At 49.9% G+C, this 14,677-nt stretch overlaps 2 protein-coding genes across 11 annotated transcripts in view, besides 3 other annotated features; one reads left to right on the forward strand and one right to left on the reverse strand.

Moving 5' to 3' along the window:
• Positions 1 to 5,838, reverse strand: PCED1A (PC-esterase domain containing 1A). Of its 9 annotated transcripts, none has more exons than NM_001271168.2 (8): positions 5,553 to 5,838; positions 4,476 to 4,620; positions 3,879 to 3,958; positions 3,531 to 3,616; positions 3,283 to 3,433; positions 2,919 to 3,165; positions 726 to 1,001; positions 1 to 396 (listed from the first exon to the last, which is right to left on the reverse strand). In NM_001271168.2, exons 2-8 carry the CDS (start codon positions 4,597 to 4,599, stop codon positions 149 to 151), a joined length of 1,212 nt encoding a protein of 403 aa, NP_001258097.1. In that variant the 5' UTR covers positions 4,600 to 4,620; positions 5,553 to 5,838; the 3' UTR covers positions 1 to 148. The 9 variants fall into 9 exon arrangements, with proteins under 9 accessions (NP_001258097.1, XP_005260861.1, XP_005260862.1 ...); XM_005260804.3 differs by having other exon boundaries at positions 3,531 to 3,769; XM_005260805.4 differs by lacking the exon at positions 5,553 to 5,838 and adding an exon at positions 4,898 to 5,342.
• Positions 2,868 to 3,167: an enhancer, noted in NCBI's record as "active region_17472". NCBI's record gives its function as "activates an Ori minimal core promoter by ATAC-STARR-seq in GM12878 lymphoblastoid cells {active_cell/tissue: GM12878}" and the evidence as "EXISTENCE:reporter gene assay evidence [ECO:0000049][PMID:35858748]".
• Positions 4,644 to 5,175: an enhancer, noted in NCBI's record as "H3K27ac-H3K4me1 hESC enhancer chr20:2820603-2821134 (GRCh37/hg19 assembly coordinates)". NCBI's record gives its function as "activates a minimal SCP1, AML or CMV promoter by ChIP-STARR-seq in primed H9 embryonic stem cells {active_cell/tissue: H9 hESC(primed)}" and the evidence as "EXISTENCE:reporter gene assay evidence [ECO:0000049][PMID:30033119]".
• The window catches only part of VPS16 (VPS16 core subunit of CORVET and HOPS complexes), a 25,988-nt gene continuing 16,742 nt past the window's right edge, over positions 5,432 to 14,677 (forward strand). For both annotated transcript variants that reach the window (NM_022575.4, NM_080413.3), the window contains exon 1: positions 5,432 to 5,514. In NM_022575.4, the coding sequence (NP_072097.2) occupies positions 5,462 to 5,514 (53 nt within the window). In that variant the 5' untranslated portion in view covers positions 5,432 to 5,461. The remainder of the gene's footprint in view (positions 5,515 to 14,677) is intronic.
• Positions 5,709 to 6,240: an enhancer, noted in NCBI's record as "H3K27ac hESC enhancer chr20:2821668-2822199 (GRCh37/hg19 assembly coordinates)". NCBI's record gives its function as "activates a minimal SCP1, AML or CMV promoter by ChIP-STARR-seq in naive H9 embryonic stem cells {active_cell/tissue: H9 hESC(naive)}" and the evidence as "EXISTENCE:reporter gene assay evidence [ECO:0000049][PMID:30033119]".

The following is a 14,677-nucleotide window of genomic DNA, read 5'->3' on the forward strand; positions in this document are numbered from 1 at the left end:
TTTGTCACTCTGTTCTTCCATGCCTTTATTGGTGACAGCAATGGACAAGAACAATACCAGGCATAGCAGACACCCTAGCCCAGTACCTGAGGTGCCAGGCAGGCCCTGAAGGGCCATTGGCACATCCAGTCCCAGCCCAAGATCCAGTCTACCCAGGCCATGTCCCCGAATGGGCAGGAGGCCGTCTGTCCAGTTTGTATGTGTGGATCAGTCTCTCTGAGTGTCTGAGCCGCTGCCTGCAGGGCCCCCCCATTCTCCGCACATGGTAGGGGCTGTTAGGAACATAGCGTGGCATCCCCCGGTGGACCACTGGGCCCCAGTGCTGACCATGGGGATTAGGGCCAGGGATTGGAGGTGGCAGAGGGCCAGGCACAAAGTTCACTCCAGGGCCACATCCTACAAAAGAACCAGTCATTATAAGAGCAGGCTTCTGGCCAGAGTGAGTGCAGCTCTGCCTTGAAGCAACTCTTGTCCTCCAGGTGAGCTTCTCTGTTTCCCTATCTACAAAAAAGGGATAGTCCTTCCCCTACCTTCAGACGGTGAAACAGTGACAACCAGTGAGCTGATTAATGAACCTACAGATGATGTTTCAGACTCAGGGACTGCTGTGACCAAACCCAGTGCTAGGGGCACAAGGAGCTACCCAACTCCTCTCAGCTCACCTAGGCATAGGAGGCTGGGTAAGGGGAGGTACAAGAGGGTGGGGGAGCTGCAGAAGCACCTACCTAAGTGGGGTGGCATCGAGAAGTCCTCCACTGGATTATAGTTGAAGAATTCATGGGGTGGGAAGGGCTGGCCTGGGAAAAAAGGGGTATCCTGGGGCAGGGGTGGGAAGAGGGGAGGTGGCGAGGGCTGAGGAAGCGGGTAGGGAAAAGGCATGGGAGGAGGCAAAGAAGAAGGTGGGGGTGGGAGCAAGGCCAGGTGCTCCCCGAAGTCTGGGGTCTGCCTATGGCTTCCCTGGAATGGATGATTCATCTCTGCCCAGTCCTCAATCCACGGGTCTAGGAATGGGATGGTTGTTTTAGGTAGGCTTGGGAGCCAGGCTGCCCTGAACTCTGGCCATCCACACTTCTAAAGCTCTATTCCTTCCTCTTGGAGAGCAGAGCCACCAGGCTGGAGCATCCTTGCCCTCTACCCAGTTTTCCTCATTCCCTCTCATTTCAGGCCAAGCCCAAAGTGTGTTCCTTCTCTCTTACCTCTCAGACTTACCTTTGTTCTAACCTACACTTCCCTCCAGAGCCTTCTTTGTTTGCCCAGGTCTTGTATCTAGCTTTTTCCTCGCCCACCTCCTCCCCATAGACCAGTAAATAAGCCAAACATAAAGATCCTGTTATTCCCTTCCCCAACAACTTCCTTTTACCATCCAAACTTCCAAAAGGAATGTTTTGCCCAATTTCCACTTCCTCCTCAATTGCTCACTCCCTCCTTTAATCCAAACCCATGCCCTCAACACTTTTCCTACTAAATGTAACCACTTGCTAACAAATTCCCTTCTTCTCAACAGTCATGTGACACTGCCAGCAGCCTCAGTCCTTCCTAAAAGTGCCCCTGCCCTCATCTCCTTTTGTTTCCGCCATAGCCCCTCTTTCCTGCCAATCCAAAGCATGAGCATCGTTCTGTCTCCCTCACAGCTGCCACTGTGCCCTCAGTTTTAATCTCTCTGCTGGGTACCAATGACTGCAAATCTACTCTGTATTTCCAAAGAACCTCAAATCAATCTGCTGTGACCAAACTCACCAACTCATCCTTCCACCCCAAATCAACTCTCCCTTTTCATGGCCCTAACTTCTGTAGCTCCAAATTGGATTTCAAAGGCCTAAGCCATCAAAACTAGCCTTACAACCTTCAGGGCATCCCATCATTTGCTGGGGATCAATTATTACATCTAAACAAGAAAATGGGGATGTTTAACCAAAATCTGTATTCACCTCCCTGATGCTCCAACTCCTGGCTACCAAGTGTTACAGGTCTGTCTCTATGATATTCCTGGACTCTCTGTGCCCCCACATCCTCTTGTGCTGCCATAATCGGCCTTCTAACATGACTCGTGCCTCCCATTCAACAAATACAATTCTGTTGATACTGTGTACAGGGAAATTGTGCTAGACACTGGGGCTGAAAGGGGTGAGTCGTCAACAAGTGCAGCAGGAAACTTGCCCTTTAAGGACACGATGCAGGGGAGAAGCAGCCATGGAGACAATCAGCCATGGTGCCCTCTTTGTGTGCATGCAGGGACTAGGGTGTTGACATGGAAACAGAGGTTCTGCAGCAGAGTGTTACAGTTGAGATGTGATGGGGAGCAGTGCCTCAAAACAAGGGGGAGTGGGGCCCTCAGAAGCCTCCACCAAAGGCCCAGAGATGGGGCCCGAGGAGAGCTACACCAAGCTGCACCAGTCACAGTGGGACTCTGAGGCTGAACTAAGAAGCCTATGGAACACTGTCCATTGAGCCCAAGTCCATAAGGCTGGCCTTCCCGATGCAACATCCCTGTTCCACACCCTGCCAGTTGACTGTACCCCCACCCCCCAGCTGTGGGCTTCTTTGCTTCTGCCACACTGCCTGGATGGCCCTTCCTCCCTGTCTTTCCACTCCTCACACCCATGCCCCATTTCTTTCCTGTTAATCTGTTGGGTAGGACCCTTGCAACATGCTGCCTTATGTGGTCAATACTTGTACAAGCTCCTTCAAGCACACAGAAATGACTACACAGCCAGACTGTAGAAAACTGGAACTTGGACAAGAATATTGCTCCGATGATCTAACCCTCCTCAGGGGTTGAGGAAGGTGCATGCAGAAGCCACAGGAGTCCTTCAAGGGACCTCTACTTCCCTTGAGTGGCTGTGTCCCATTCTGTTTCTGAGCCCTGTCCTCTGAGGGCCCCAGTGCATCACTACCCCCCCACTTATGGTAGGGCTCACCAGGGGGATAGCCACGCTTGGGCAGCTCCACGCCCCAGGCGTCAGCCACATGGGTCAGAAGCAGGTGTGAGAGGTGGCGGTGTGCATGCTGGTCCCAGTGGACACCATCCCGATGACGGTGCTGTACTGCATGCCGGAAGTGAAAGTGGAGGTCTAGGACATCAAAGCAGTGGTCCCCGGCCAGCGTAGCACTGTAGAAGTTCCCTTCAACCACATCCCGCCGCAGGGAGCCTGCCAGGGGCTGGAGCTAAGTGAGAAAGTGCAGCCTCTAAGAGCCACAGAACGCAGCAGGGTCTGAAAGCAGGGTGTCCTATCTACCAGTCTGCTATCCCATCTCTTGTCCTGATGGGCCTCAGTCACTTGCCTCTGGCAGGAGGAAACCCCCAGTGATACGTTCCCCGAGGGGCATCGCCATGTTCCACACCAGCAGGCAGGAGTCTGGCAATACTTGGTCCATGCGCACAAACACCCGCTCCAGGTTCTCCCGGTAGCTCTCCATTGAGCAGCGACCATATCTGTTGGATAACACACAGGGTGGGCAAGAGCACAAGGGTGGACTGCCTCAGCCGTACTTCCAGCCCCAACCAGTATTCCCCTTTCCCTCGCCCCAACCTGGAGAGATCCCAGAGGCAGGAGTTGATGATCACCAGGTCCGGGGCAGGTCCATATGTCAGCTCTTCCAGAACATCCTCAAGGTACTCGGAGTAAACACGAGTGAGGAAGTAGAAGCGCACAAGGTGGTGGCCAGAGCCCGAGCAGAACTGGCGGACCTCACGATACTGTGTCCCGTTGTGCAGCTCGCCCAGCTGGCCCCCAGCCACCAGCTGGTCCTGTTCAAAGCTCAGCTCCCCCTACCCACCCCCCCCACCCTACTGGTCAGACCCATGCCAGGGAGGAGAACCCTGCCAGGCCAGGGTCTGTGCCCACCCACCACTGACATGGCCACCAAGCTTCCCTCACCTTGGCTTTCAGCTGGGCAGCTGTGAGCAGTGAGTCTTTCTGGAGCAAGAGCACCAGGTCCTTGTACACAGCCCTCTGAACTGGGAGGAGACAGAGATCCCAAGGCTGAGGCAGACCTCAGCCTGCCCCAGCTCCTTCCAAGTCCAGGACCCCATTTTCCCAGGGCTGAGGTGCCCGACACCAGCTCTGTGGTTGACTTAGACGCAGGAGAAAAGATGAGGTTAAAAAGTCCTGGCATTGCCTCTGTTCTGTGTGCCTCCTGGCCAGCAGTATACAGTGACCCAAGATCACCTGGCAGAAATTAAGTCGGCCAAGTCACCCAGGAGACACACTACACAATGCAACGCTTTCGTGATGGAAATTATGGGGAGCTGTCAGGGCGAGAAATGCTGAGCAAGGATGGGCTAAAAAGTGCACAGGTTATTACACCTGTCAGGACTCCTGTGGAAGATGTGTGGGACATAAAAAGAGAAAACCTACTGGACGGAACAGACCAGAAGACAGACAAGAGATGTGAGATGGAAACAAATGGTCCAGACACACTGAACGGGCTGCAAGGTGTGGGACTGGAAGCGTCACCCTAGAAGAGGCACTCACTGGAGTCCCCCAAGATGACCACGAACTTGTTGTGTAGCAGCTGCTGGACTTCCGAGGCCTGGAAGTGGACCATGTCGCTTCGCAGCGGGCGGCGCGGCTCCTCGCTCGACAGACAGAAGACCATGCCGCCACCAGCAACGACAGGCTGCAGGGAGAGGCCACTAAGCAGCGCGATGGTGGGGACTCTGGGCAGGTCAGCCTCAGGGCTAGCCCCTCCGGGGCTGCTCAATGCTAAAGGGAGGAGGTGACGGCAGCAGAGCCATGGTGGCGCCAGCCTTGGTCACACTTGGTACCAGAGGCAGGGGGTCGTCCAGCCAGCAGGCCTCCAGGGCACTGGGGAGCTTCCCGCGCGGCGCCGCCCTGCGCCTCGCCACGTGCCCGCCGCCGTCCCGCGCATGCGCGCACCCGCTCGCGCCAATTACCAAGTCCCGGGGCTCCGCGGTGTTCACCCGCGACCCGGGTATGCCTGCGCACCGCGCGCCTGGCCCGCAGCGGGCTCCTAGCCAAGCCTCATGTTCCCGCGCCCCAGTCGGCCAGTCGGTTCTGCAAAGCTCCCGCCCCGCAGAGACCGTGGGTCCAGGTTAGCCGTCGGTGCACAGCCCAGCGCCCAGCGCTCTCCATGCGAGCGTCGCTGTGGCCCCGACGGCGCCTCAGGCCTCGGCGCCTCGGGCTGCGACGCTCACAGCTTCCACTTCCGTTCACCCATGTCCCGCCCTGAGCGACCCCCAGTGCCCGAAGGGAAAGCAAGGCGATGGAGGTGGCCGCCACAGGGCGCAGGAGCCAGGGCTGGGCCCACTTGGCGGGCGCGAAGCCCAGGTACGGGCTGGGGTCTCGGGGCGGCAGCCAAGTGAGGCTGCCCACAGTGGTGATGGCCGCGGCGGCGGCCTCGCCACGTGACCCGGACGGGCGGAAGCGGAAGTGCCGGCCTGGAGCCCGCTCTAGGTGGGTGTCCCCTCGGTGCTTCCCAGCTGCCGTCTGCACCAGCCATGGACTGCTACACGGCGAACTGGAACCCACTCGGGGACTCTGCCTTTTACCGGTGAGCTGCCCCGCCCTCCCGCCCACGGCCTGGCTTACCCTGCTCGCCCGCCGGCTGGAGTCTCCCGGCGGCGTTCGCCCCTGTCACTACTGGCGCTGGGGTCCGCCCCGCGCCGGCTCTCCCCGAGCGTCTGCCACTTAGCGCACAGCCGCCTTTGGGCAGGGAGCCGGGCCTTCCCCTGCTCCAGAAAAGGAAACTGAGGCAAGCACAGTGGTCACCCCGAAGCCCAGGTCTGTTAGCCTCCGGAAAGATGCTCAGATCTCGCTGAGGGAGGCAGCTCGCGGGTGACAGCGAGTGCCCAGTCTCCTGCCGGAAAGTGCTGCTGAAGTCAGACCACAGGGGCGCTCCGAGGGGGGCGGGATCGCACGGCGGGCGGGGTAACAGTGCTGACCAAGGCTGGGAAAAGGGGGCGAGTCGTCCGTGAATCCCGGAACAGCGGAAGTGGGAACCCCTGGGTTAGGGCAGCCCGCCCATGGGAGTTGTAGAGTCCTAAACCACGGATTTTTCTAAAGTGTAAACCCGTTACATCGTTACCCAGATTAGGATTTTCCCATAGCTTCCCTAATAGGAAAAACTACGAACTTCTCGTGGAACGTCTATCTGTAAGGCAGCCCGTTTGTCTCTCCAACCTCATCTACCGCTCTCCTACCCAAATCTTGCGTTCCAGCTGCGCAGAATTACAAGGCCCTAACCAGTCTGCAGTTTCTGTGGATACTGCCATTTCTCTCTTTATCTCACTGAAGAATTTTGCGCATCCTTCAGGACTTAGTAGTTCAAGGGTTCTTTCTGGAACTGTGCCTGATTCTCCCCCAATAGAATCCTGTGGGCCTCACTGGGCCCAGTGCTAGGGTCTTTTAGGTATGGTCTATTTGTATATTTAGGCGACATTTGTATAGGTTTCTTCTGCTAAACCAGGCTCCTTCAGGGCTGAAAGCATTTTTTTTTTTTTTGACAGAGTCTTCCTCTGTTGCCCAGGCTGGAGTGCAGGGGCACTCGGCTCACTGCAACCTCCGCCTCCCGGGTTCAAGGGATTCTCCTGCCTCAGCCTCCCGAGTGGCTGAGACTGCAGGCCCCTGTCACCACGCCCGGCTAATTTTTGTATTTTTTGCTAGAGGTGAGGTTTCACCATGGTGGCCAGGCTGGTCTTGAACTTCTGACCTTAAGCAATCTATCCACCTTGGCCTCCCAAAGTACTGGGATTACAGGCGTGAACCACTGAGCCCGGCCAAAAGCATGTTTCTTGCTTCTCTTTATCACCAGTGCATATTTAGAACAGTGCTTGCTATGTAATAATTGCCCATTAAAGTTTTTTAAAAATATTTTACTGGGCCGAGCTTTGTGGCATGTTCCTATAGTCCCAGGTACTGGAGAGGCTGAGTTAGGAGGATCACTGGAGCCCAGAAGTTTGAGGGTGTAGGGACCGATGTTAGAACCTGTGAATAACCACTGCACTCCAGCCTGGGCAACATAGCATACTCCCTCTGAAAAATTAAAAATATTATTTTAGGCCAGGCGCAGTGGCTCATGCCTGTAATCCCAGCACTTTGGGAGGCCAAGGTGGGTGAATCACCTGAGGCCAGGAGTTTGAGACCAGCCTAACCAACATGGTCAAACCCTGTCTCTACAAAAATTAGCCAGGCATAATGGCAGGTGCTTGTAATCCCAGCTACTTGGGAGGCTGAGGCAGGAGAATCGCTTGAACCTGGGAGGCGGAGGTTGCAGTGAGCCAAGATAGCGTCATTGCATTCTAGTCCAGGCAACAGAGTGAGACTCCGTCTATATATAGATATATCTATCTATATCTATCTATAGATAGATAGATATAGATAGATATATAGATGTATCTATATATATATAGATACATCTAGATGTATCTATATATAGATAGACATATGGATGTATCTATCTATAGATACATATAGATGTATCTATCTATAGATAGACATATAGATGTATCTATCTATAGATAGACATATAGATGTATCTATCTATAGATAGACATATAGATGTATCTATCGATAGATAGATGTATCTATCGATAGATAGATAGATGTATCTATCGATAGATAGATAGATATATGTTATGGATTGCAAGTAAAGATCACAAAGACATTGCATGGGGGTCTTACTTAAATAGAAGACATTTGTTTGTGCTAATGAAACTGTATACCATTCTCACTGACATATTAAAACTTTTAAATGTAATTTTTGGTACCTAATGTGATATACTTCCTAGATGGACAAGTGCCCTGTGGCAGTTTTTAGAGACCTGTTGCATTTGTTGTTTATTTATAATTCTCTCTTAGAAATATGCCTGTGCAATTGGCCGAGCGTGGTGGCTCACGCCTGTAATCCCAGCACTTTGGGAGGCTGAGGCAGGCAGATCACGAGGTCAAGAGTTCGAGATCAGCCTGGCCAACATGATGAAACCCCGTCTCTACTAGAAATACAAAAATTTGCCGGGCGTGGTGGCACACACCTATAATCCCAGCTACTCGGGAAGCTGAGGCAGGAGAATTGCTTGAACCTGGGAGGCGGAGGTTGCGGTGAGCCAAGATCGCACCACTGTACTCCAGCCTGGGCAACAGAGCAAGACTCCATCTTGGGGAAAAAAAAAAAAGAAAAGAAATATGCCTGTGCAGTATGAAAAAATTGCAAAAACTTCATTAAAAATCCATAAATGCAGTAGGAAATGATTTCAACTTGTTTCTGTGGAGAAGGAATTTCAGCTGACCAAGGTAGCCATGTCATTTAGTATTTACACACCAGCTAGTTGATACAACATTCACTTTTAAAATATCAACTTTACTTGTATTATTTTGAAGATACCTGTTGCCTACCCAGGCTTATTAAATCAAAGAGTACTGCAGACATTGACCTCATTACCACAGAGCTCTTATTTGTCAGATGTAGTCTTTGCTTTGTTGACATGTTAATAAGGTTTTAAAAGAATGTATGTGTTGGGTGCATGCCACAGACACAATCTGAATGATTAATCTACTCTTACCTGTGCTGTACTGCCAGAAAGGATTAGGGGTCTAAGGCTTGCTGGGGAGGATATTTATGTTTTAAGTTGCTAACAGCTATTGAGCCTTTCTTATGTACTAAACATGCTAAGTACTTTATGTGTTTTAACTTGCTTAAGCCTTACAATCCCATGAGGTAGGTACCATCTTACTGATGAGGAAGCCGAGGCACAGAGAGGCCAGGTTATACAACTAGTGACCAGGTTACACAGCTATTGAGTAGTGGAGTCAGGCTTTGAACCCAAACAGGTTCTAGACCTCTGTTAAAAAATAGGGTTTTGGGGGCGGGCAGGTTAACAGGAAAATATAAGAGCATGTTTCACCTTTTCCACCAGAATGGAAATGCTTTAAGAGCAAGTACTTAGTTTTGTTCATATGTGTGCATAGCTTTATGCATAGGCAGGACTTGATACATGTCTGAGTCAGTGAATGAATGATAAAACAGGTGGCAGACATTACATTTCAAGTCCTATCTGCCTGACAGGATTCTTTTGTATTGGGAGTAGTATTCTGGAGAACCCACTCAATTTGGGAAGGCAAGGAGGAGAAACGGTGACCAGTTCTTATGGGACTCCAGAAGTTAAGCTATTTTTTTAATCCTAAAAATGCAACTTGGGCTAATCTAATTAATTAATTTGTCCCATCCCTTTGGCAGGCTGAGCCAGTATGATAAAACAGATGTGGAAGAGTTCTGCCTGCCATCATAGAGCTTACAGCCAGCAGGCGAGACAGTTGATAATCACTCAGTATTTGTTTGATCATAATCACTATAAAGAGAGGTATAGTAGCAAATAACCTAAGAGAACATGTTACAGACTCCAGGAGTCAAAGGTAGAGAAGACACTCTGAAAGAAGTAATAATACCCTATCCAGGGGATGAGTAGATGTAGGTGCATGAAGTGGGATGGAGGTGGAGAAGAGCATATACACAAAAGTCTTGAGGCAGGAAGGACTGAGGCATGCACAGTGACCTAAAGAGAGCCAGTGTGGCTGGAGTGCTGTAGGCAACAAGAACAGGACATGGATGAAGTTGATGCCCTTCGTGTAGGGGTCACACGCTGCAGGGACGTGTAGATCACCGTTATCTGAAGAACGATGGGAAGCCTCAATTAAAGGATCTTAACAAAAGGTTGATGTAATTGGATTTGCAAGGGGTGTGTGTGTGTGTGTGTGTGTGTGTGTGTGTGTGTTTTAAGTTCCTTTTGTAGGCAATGCTGGGGAAAAGTTGGAAGGAACAAGCAAAATGGAAGCAAGGGAGATGGTTAGGAGCCTGATGGAACAGAACAGGAAAAAGTTGAGGATGGCCAGTACTGGGGTGGTGATGGTGGAGGTGGAGAGAAGGGGCCAGTCTCAGAGATTTAGAAGTAAAGTGGAAGAAATTCGTAATGACTGCACTTGGTGGGGAGGAAGGAGAGCAAGGAATCAAGGATGACTTGGATTTGGGGCTTAAATAAAATCATGAGAAAGGAAGCGTGAGTTTGGCAGGGAAGGAGGTGAGCTTGGTTCTAGATACATTGAGTTTCAGGTACTAAGAAGCATCTTATGGTAAAAGAAAGGAGAGTTAAGATACATTATATACTCCTGAAATTATTTTTAGAAGGGAGGGCAACTATTTAAGTAGTTATATTTTTGTTTCATTTTGTTTTTTTGATACATAAACATGAACTTTTTTTTCAAAAAAGTCAGCTGTGTGTAGTGGCACGCACATGTAATCCCAGCAACTTGGGAGGCTGAAAAAAAAAAAGAACATTTTAAAAAATTGTGGTTAAATATACATGATATAAAATTTACTCTCTTAACCATTTTTGAGTGTACCCTTTAATAGTGTTAAGTATATTCACGTTGTTGTGCAACCAGTCTCCAGGACTTTTTCATCTTGCAAAACTGAAATTCTGTACCCTCAAACAACTCCCCATTTCCTCCTCCCCCCAGCCCATGGCAACCACCATTCTGTTTTCTGTCTCAGAATTTGACTACCCTAGACTCCTTATGTAAGTGGAGTCATATAGCACTTACTTCCTGTGACTGGCTTATTTCACTTAGCATAATATCTTCAAGATTTATCCATGTTATAGCATGTGTCAGAATTTTCTTCCTTTTCGAGGCTGAATAATATGCCATTGTATGCATCTACCACATTTTGCTTATCCATTTCATCTTTCCATGGACACTTGGGTTGCTGGTAGCCCTTGGCTATTGTGAATAATCTGCTGTGAATGTGGGTCTACAAATATCTATTCAATATTTTCTGTACTCCGCTTTTTTTTTTTTTTTTTTTTTTGAGATGGAGTCTCGCTCTGTCGCCCAGGCTGGAGTGCAGTGGCGCGATCTCAGCTCACTGCAACATCTGCCTCCCGGGTTCAAGTGATTCTCCTGCCTCAGCCTCCTAAGTAGCTGGGATTACAGGCACCCACCACTGTGCCTGGCTAATTTTTGTATTTTTAGTAGAAATGGGGTTTCACCATGTTGGCCAGGCTGCTTTCGAACTCCTGACCTCAGGTGATCTGCCTGCCTCGGCCTCCCAAAGTGCTGGGATTACAGGCATAAGCCATTGCACCCGGCCTCTGTACTCCGCTTTTAATTATTTTGGGTATATATCCAGAAGTGGAATTGCTAGATCATATGGTAATTCTATGTTTACTTTTTTCCATAGCAGCTGATGTACCATTTTACATTCCCAGCAACAATGCCCAGGAGTTCTTTAGTAGTATATGTTTTTGAGACAGGCTGGAAACAAGGGATTTCAGGAGTGACAGTGAACTCTCTTTAGGGCCTGGGATTTGGGAATTACTGGATTATACCCCAAGGCAACCAGATTATACCTAACATGCATCTTCCTCCCTAGTGGTCTGATATCTTAGCTTGGACAGGCTGGAGATCATCTATTTTCACTCAAGGGTCTTCTCACACCCCAGTAGACCATGCTTCTCCAGCAGTTCAGCTGCCCTGCCACAGAAATTTCTTCACTGTTTCCAGCAGGGGACTGCAATTGAGGCTACCGGTACCTCACTACATCCTTAGGTTTAACGATTTCCTGGTATTCGATTCGATTCCAAGGTCCATTTACTGCTGCTGAGATTTCCACTTCTGGGACGTAGGAGTGGAGCAGAAAGATGGGGCTGGCCTTCCTCACTAAGTGTGTGGCCTCTCTTCACAGAGTCCTCACCCTTAGGCTTTTCTGAGAAGCTGCTCTTCACTCTGCCCATCCATACCCTGTGCTACCCTCCAGGCACAGTTTGAGTCACCTCACTGTCCTCTAGAAGCCCACTTTACCTCTAAGGCTTCAGGAGGTGGTCCATACGTTATTGCTCTTCACTCCCTGACCTTTACTTTTGTACCCCTTTAGGGGGTCCATTGTGTCTCCTTCCCACCTGGTCTTTGTCGCTGCAGACATCCTTGACCAACTGCACTGCTCCCTGATTGTTGTTTTAGCCCACGGCCTCCTAGGCATCCCAGCTCTTGCCACCTTCTAGGGAGACTTAAGTGGCCACCTGGCTTCATGGTTCTATGACCTCTACTCAAGTGATTTTATCCATCTCACCCACCCCCTCCCTGGATCCCATCCCACCCTTGTGCTCATCCAGAACTGCTCTACCTCTGAAATGCTAAAATCAAACCGCCCCCTCTATTTTTTTTTTTTTTTTAAGACGGACTCTTGCTCTGTCGCCAGGCTGGAGTGCAATGGCATGATCTCGGCTCACTGCAACCTCTGCCTTCCGGGTTCAAGCAAATCTCCTGCCTCAGCCTCCCGAGTAGCTGGGATTACAGGCATGCGCCACCACACCCAGCTAATTTTTGTATTTTTAGTAGAGACGAGGTTTCACCATGTTGGTAAGGATGGTCTTGATCTCCTGACCTCATGATCCGCCTGTCTCGGCCTCCGGAAGTGCTAGGATTACAGGCGTGAGCCACCGCACCCAGCCCCGCCCCCTCTCTTACCATAAGCTCTTGTCTGCACCGATACTCTAATACCTCCCCATGTTATACCCATCCTTCAGCCTCCTCAGGATCCTCATTCATGGAGCCCTCTGTTCTCTTGGTGTCTACATGCAGAACCCCCTTTTGTAGATGTTTCCCTCTCTGCCCACCTTAGAGTACAGCCACAGTCAGCTGCTTCGGTTTTTTTCTTGCCCTTTCCCTAGCAACCTTGATCCTTTGTCCTTTGGTTACCCCTGCACGGTGCAGAACCACCTTCCAGTGCACCAGCCTCTCACCACCTCTGTACATGTACCCAGTCTGATGAGCACTGCCATGAGGTTCACGTAGCAGGCAGATTGGGACTGCTACACATCCACAGGCACCAAACCCAACTGGGGTCCCACAGTCCTATTATATGGAGTCAGCCTGCATTCACTCACCACAAGGGCTCTACTTCTATTTATTTTTTATTTTTAATTTTAATTTTTTAGAGACAAAGTCTCACTCTGTCACTCAGGCTGGAGTGCAGTGGTGCAGTCTTGGTTCACTGCAGCCTCGACCTCTTGGGCTCAGGTGATCCACCCACCTCAGCCTCTCAAAGTGCTGGGATTACAAGTGTGAGCCACCATGCCTGTCTGAAGCAACATTTTTGTAAGGTTGTTATCAGGTGTAATAGTGAGCGGAGCCACTCCCACTTCCACCTCTTGAATCTAGGCCCCAAATGGAGGAGATAACACCATATAATCATCTCTGATTAAAAGCCTAGGCTGCATCTTATAAGAAAGAACCCCACCCTTTTGAGGACATTGTCTTGCAATTGGTGCTATAACCAAGTTGTCAGTAAATTTAGGTCAGCTGCTTGTGAGTGATGGGGTATAGGGTAAGGCCAGTTGATCCCATGGCTGTGAGCCCACTGCTACCTTTCTTTGCTATGAAATGAGGTCCTTGATTAGCTGCAGTGCTTTGCAGAATGCCACAATGCTGGATAGAGCATTCTGTAAATCCACAGATGGTGGGTGCTGGAAAACACATTGCAGACAGGAAAGGCAAATCCACATTCAGAATATGTATCTGTTCCAGTGGGGATAAGTCATTGCCCTCTCTGAAATGGAAGAGACCTAATATAATCAACTTGTAGGCTGGTTCCTCTGGGAATGGTGCCATATTGGGGTCACGTATTGTCTTTGCTATTGGCAGCATTACGTGGATTGGGAGGCTTCTAAGACAGCTACCCCAAGTTAGGTTAGCAGGGCTTTCAAGGAAAAGCTAGTCTCCTTGGAGACAGGAAGGCTTCCCTCTGGTAAGGGAAGCTCAGAATGACCTGGGAGTTCAAGATTGTCAGTTTCATGTGGATCTAACCAGATATCCCTCTTCCAAGTTTCAGGATCTCATTGTTTCCTATCAGTACCCTAATTTTCACATGAGAAATGGTGTGTTGGGGGAATTCAGCTGTTGTAATTCAACAACTCACACAAATTTGTGTTTGATTTTCAGCAGTAGCAGCTATGTGGCTACAAGGAATAAGATTCTTTTTTTTTTTTTTTTTGAGGCGGAGTTTTGCTCTTATTGTCCAGACTGTAGTGCAATGGCACGATTTTGGCTCACTGCAACCTCTGCCTCCTGGGTTCAAGCGATTCTTTTGTGTCAGCCTCCTGAGTAGCTGGGATTACAGGCATGCGCCACCACGCCCAGCTAATTTTGTATTTTTAGTAAAGACAGGTTTCTCCATGTTGGCCAGGCTGGTCTTGAACTCCTGACCTCAGGTGATCTGCCCGCCTCTGCCTCCCAAAACGCTGAGATTACAGATGTGAGCTACTGCACCCGGTTGAAATAAGATTTTTTTTGGGGGGGGTGGGTGCTGTTAGAGAAGACTTCTGCTTCTCAGAACATGACTCAAGCTGAGTGTTAACAGACCTGAGATCACTTTCTCTTTGTAAATGTTCAAGTGCACTCAAAACAATCCATCCCATGCCACCATCTATAAAGTCATCATTACTGCCACACTGGCAAATATAGAAGTCACTCCTACAGCACATGTTTCAGTTACCATTTCACCACAGTAAACTGCAGGCTTGATGAATTGTGATGCAAGTGCATACAGTGGGTTATAGCATCAGTTTTCCATTGACAGAGCTCAACACCAAGCCAGTTCCGAAATCCCATCTTTAGGGGGTCTATCTTCTGGGACTATTCCTTCTATACCAAGTCTGTACCAGTCT

The sequence above is a fragment of the Homo sapiens genome, chromosome 20 (assembly GCF_000001405.40).
Source record: "Homo sapiens chromosome 20, GRCh38.p14 Primary Assembly".
In the NCBI taxonomy this organism is placed as follows: Eukaryota; Metazoa; Chordata; class Mammalia; order Primates; family Hominidae; genus Homo; species Homo sapiens.

Excerpts from the sequence above, each read along its gene's own strand:
- PCED1A (XM_005260804.3), bottom strand. The coding sequence starts at position 4,599 with ATGGTCTTCTGTCTGTCGAGCGAGGAGCCGCGCCGCCCGCTGCGAAGC. Across the intron at positions 3,770-3,878 it reads CTGCCCAGCTGAAAGCCAAG|GGGGAGCTGAGCTTTGAACA; the intron begins GTGAGGGAAGCT and ends GGGGGTGGGTAG. Across the intron at positions 1,002-2,918 it reads CAAGCGTGGCTATCCCCCTG|ACCCGTGGATTGAGGACTGG; the intron begins GTGAGCCCTACC and ends TCCCATTCCTAG.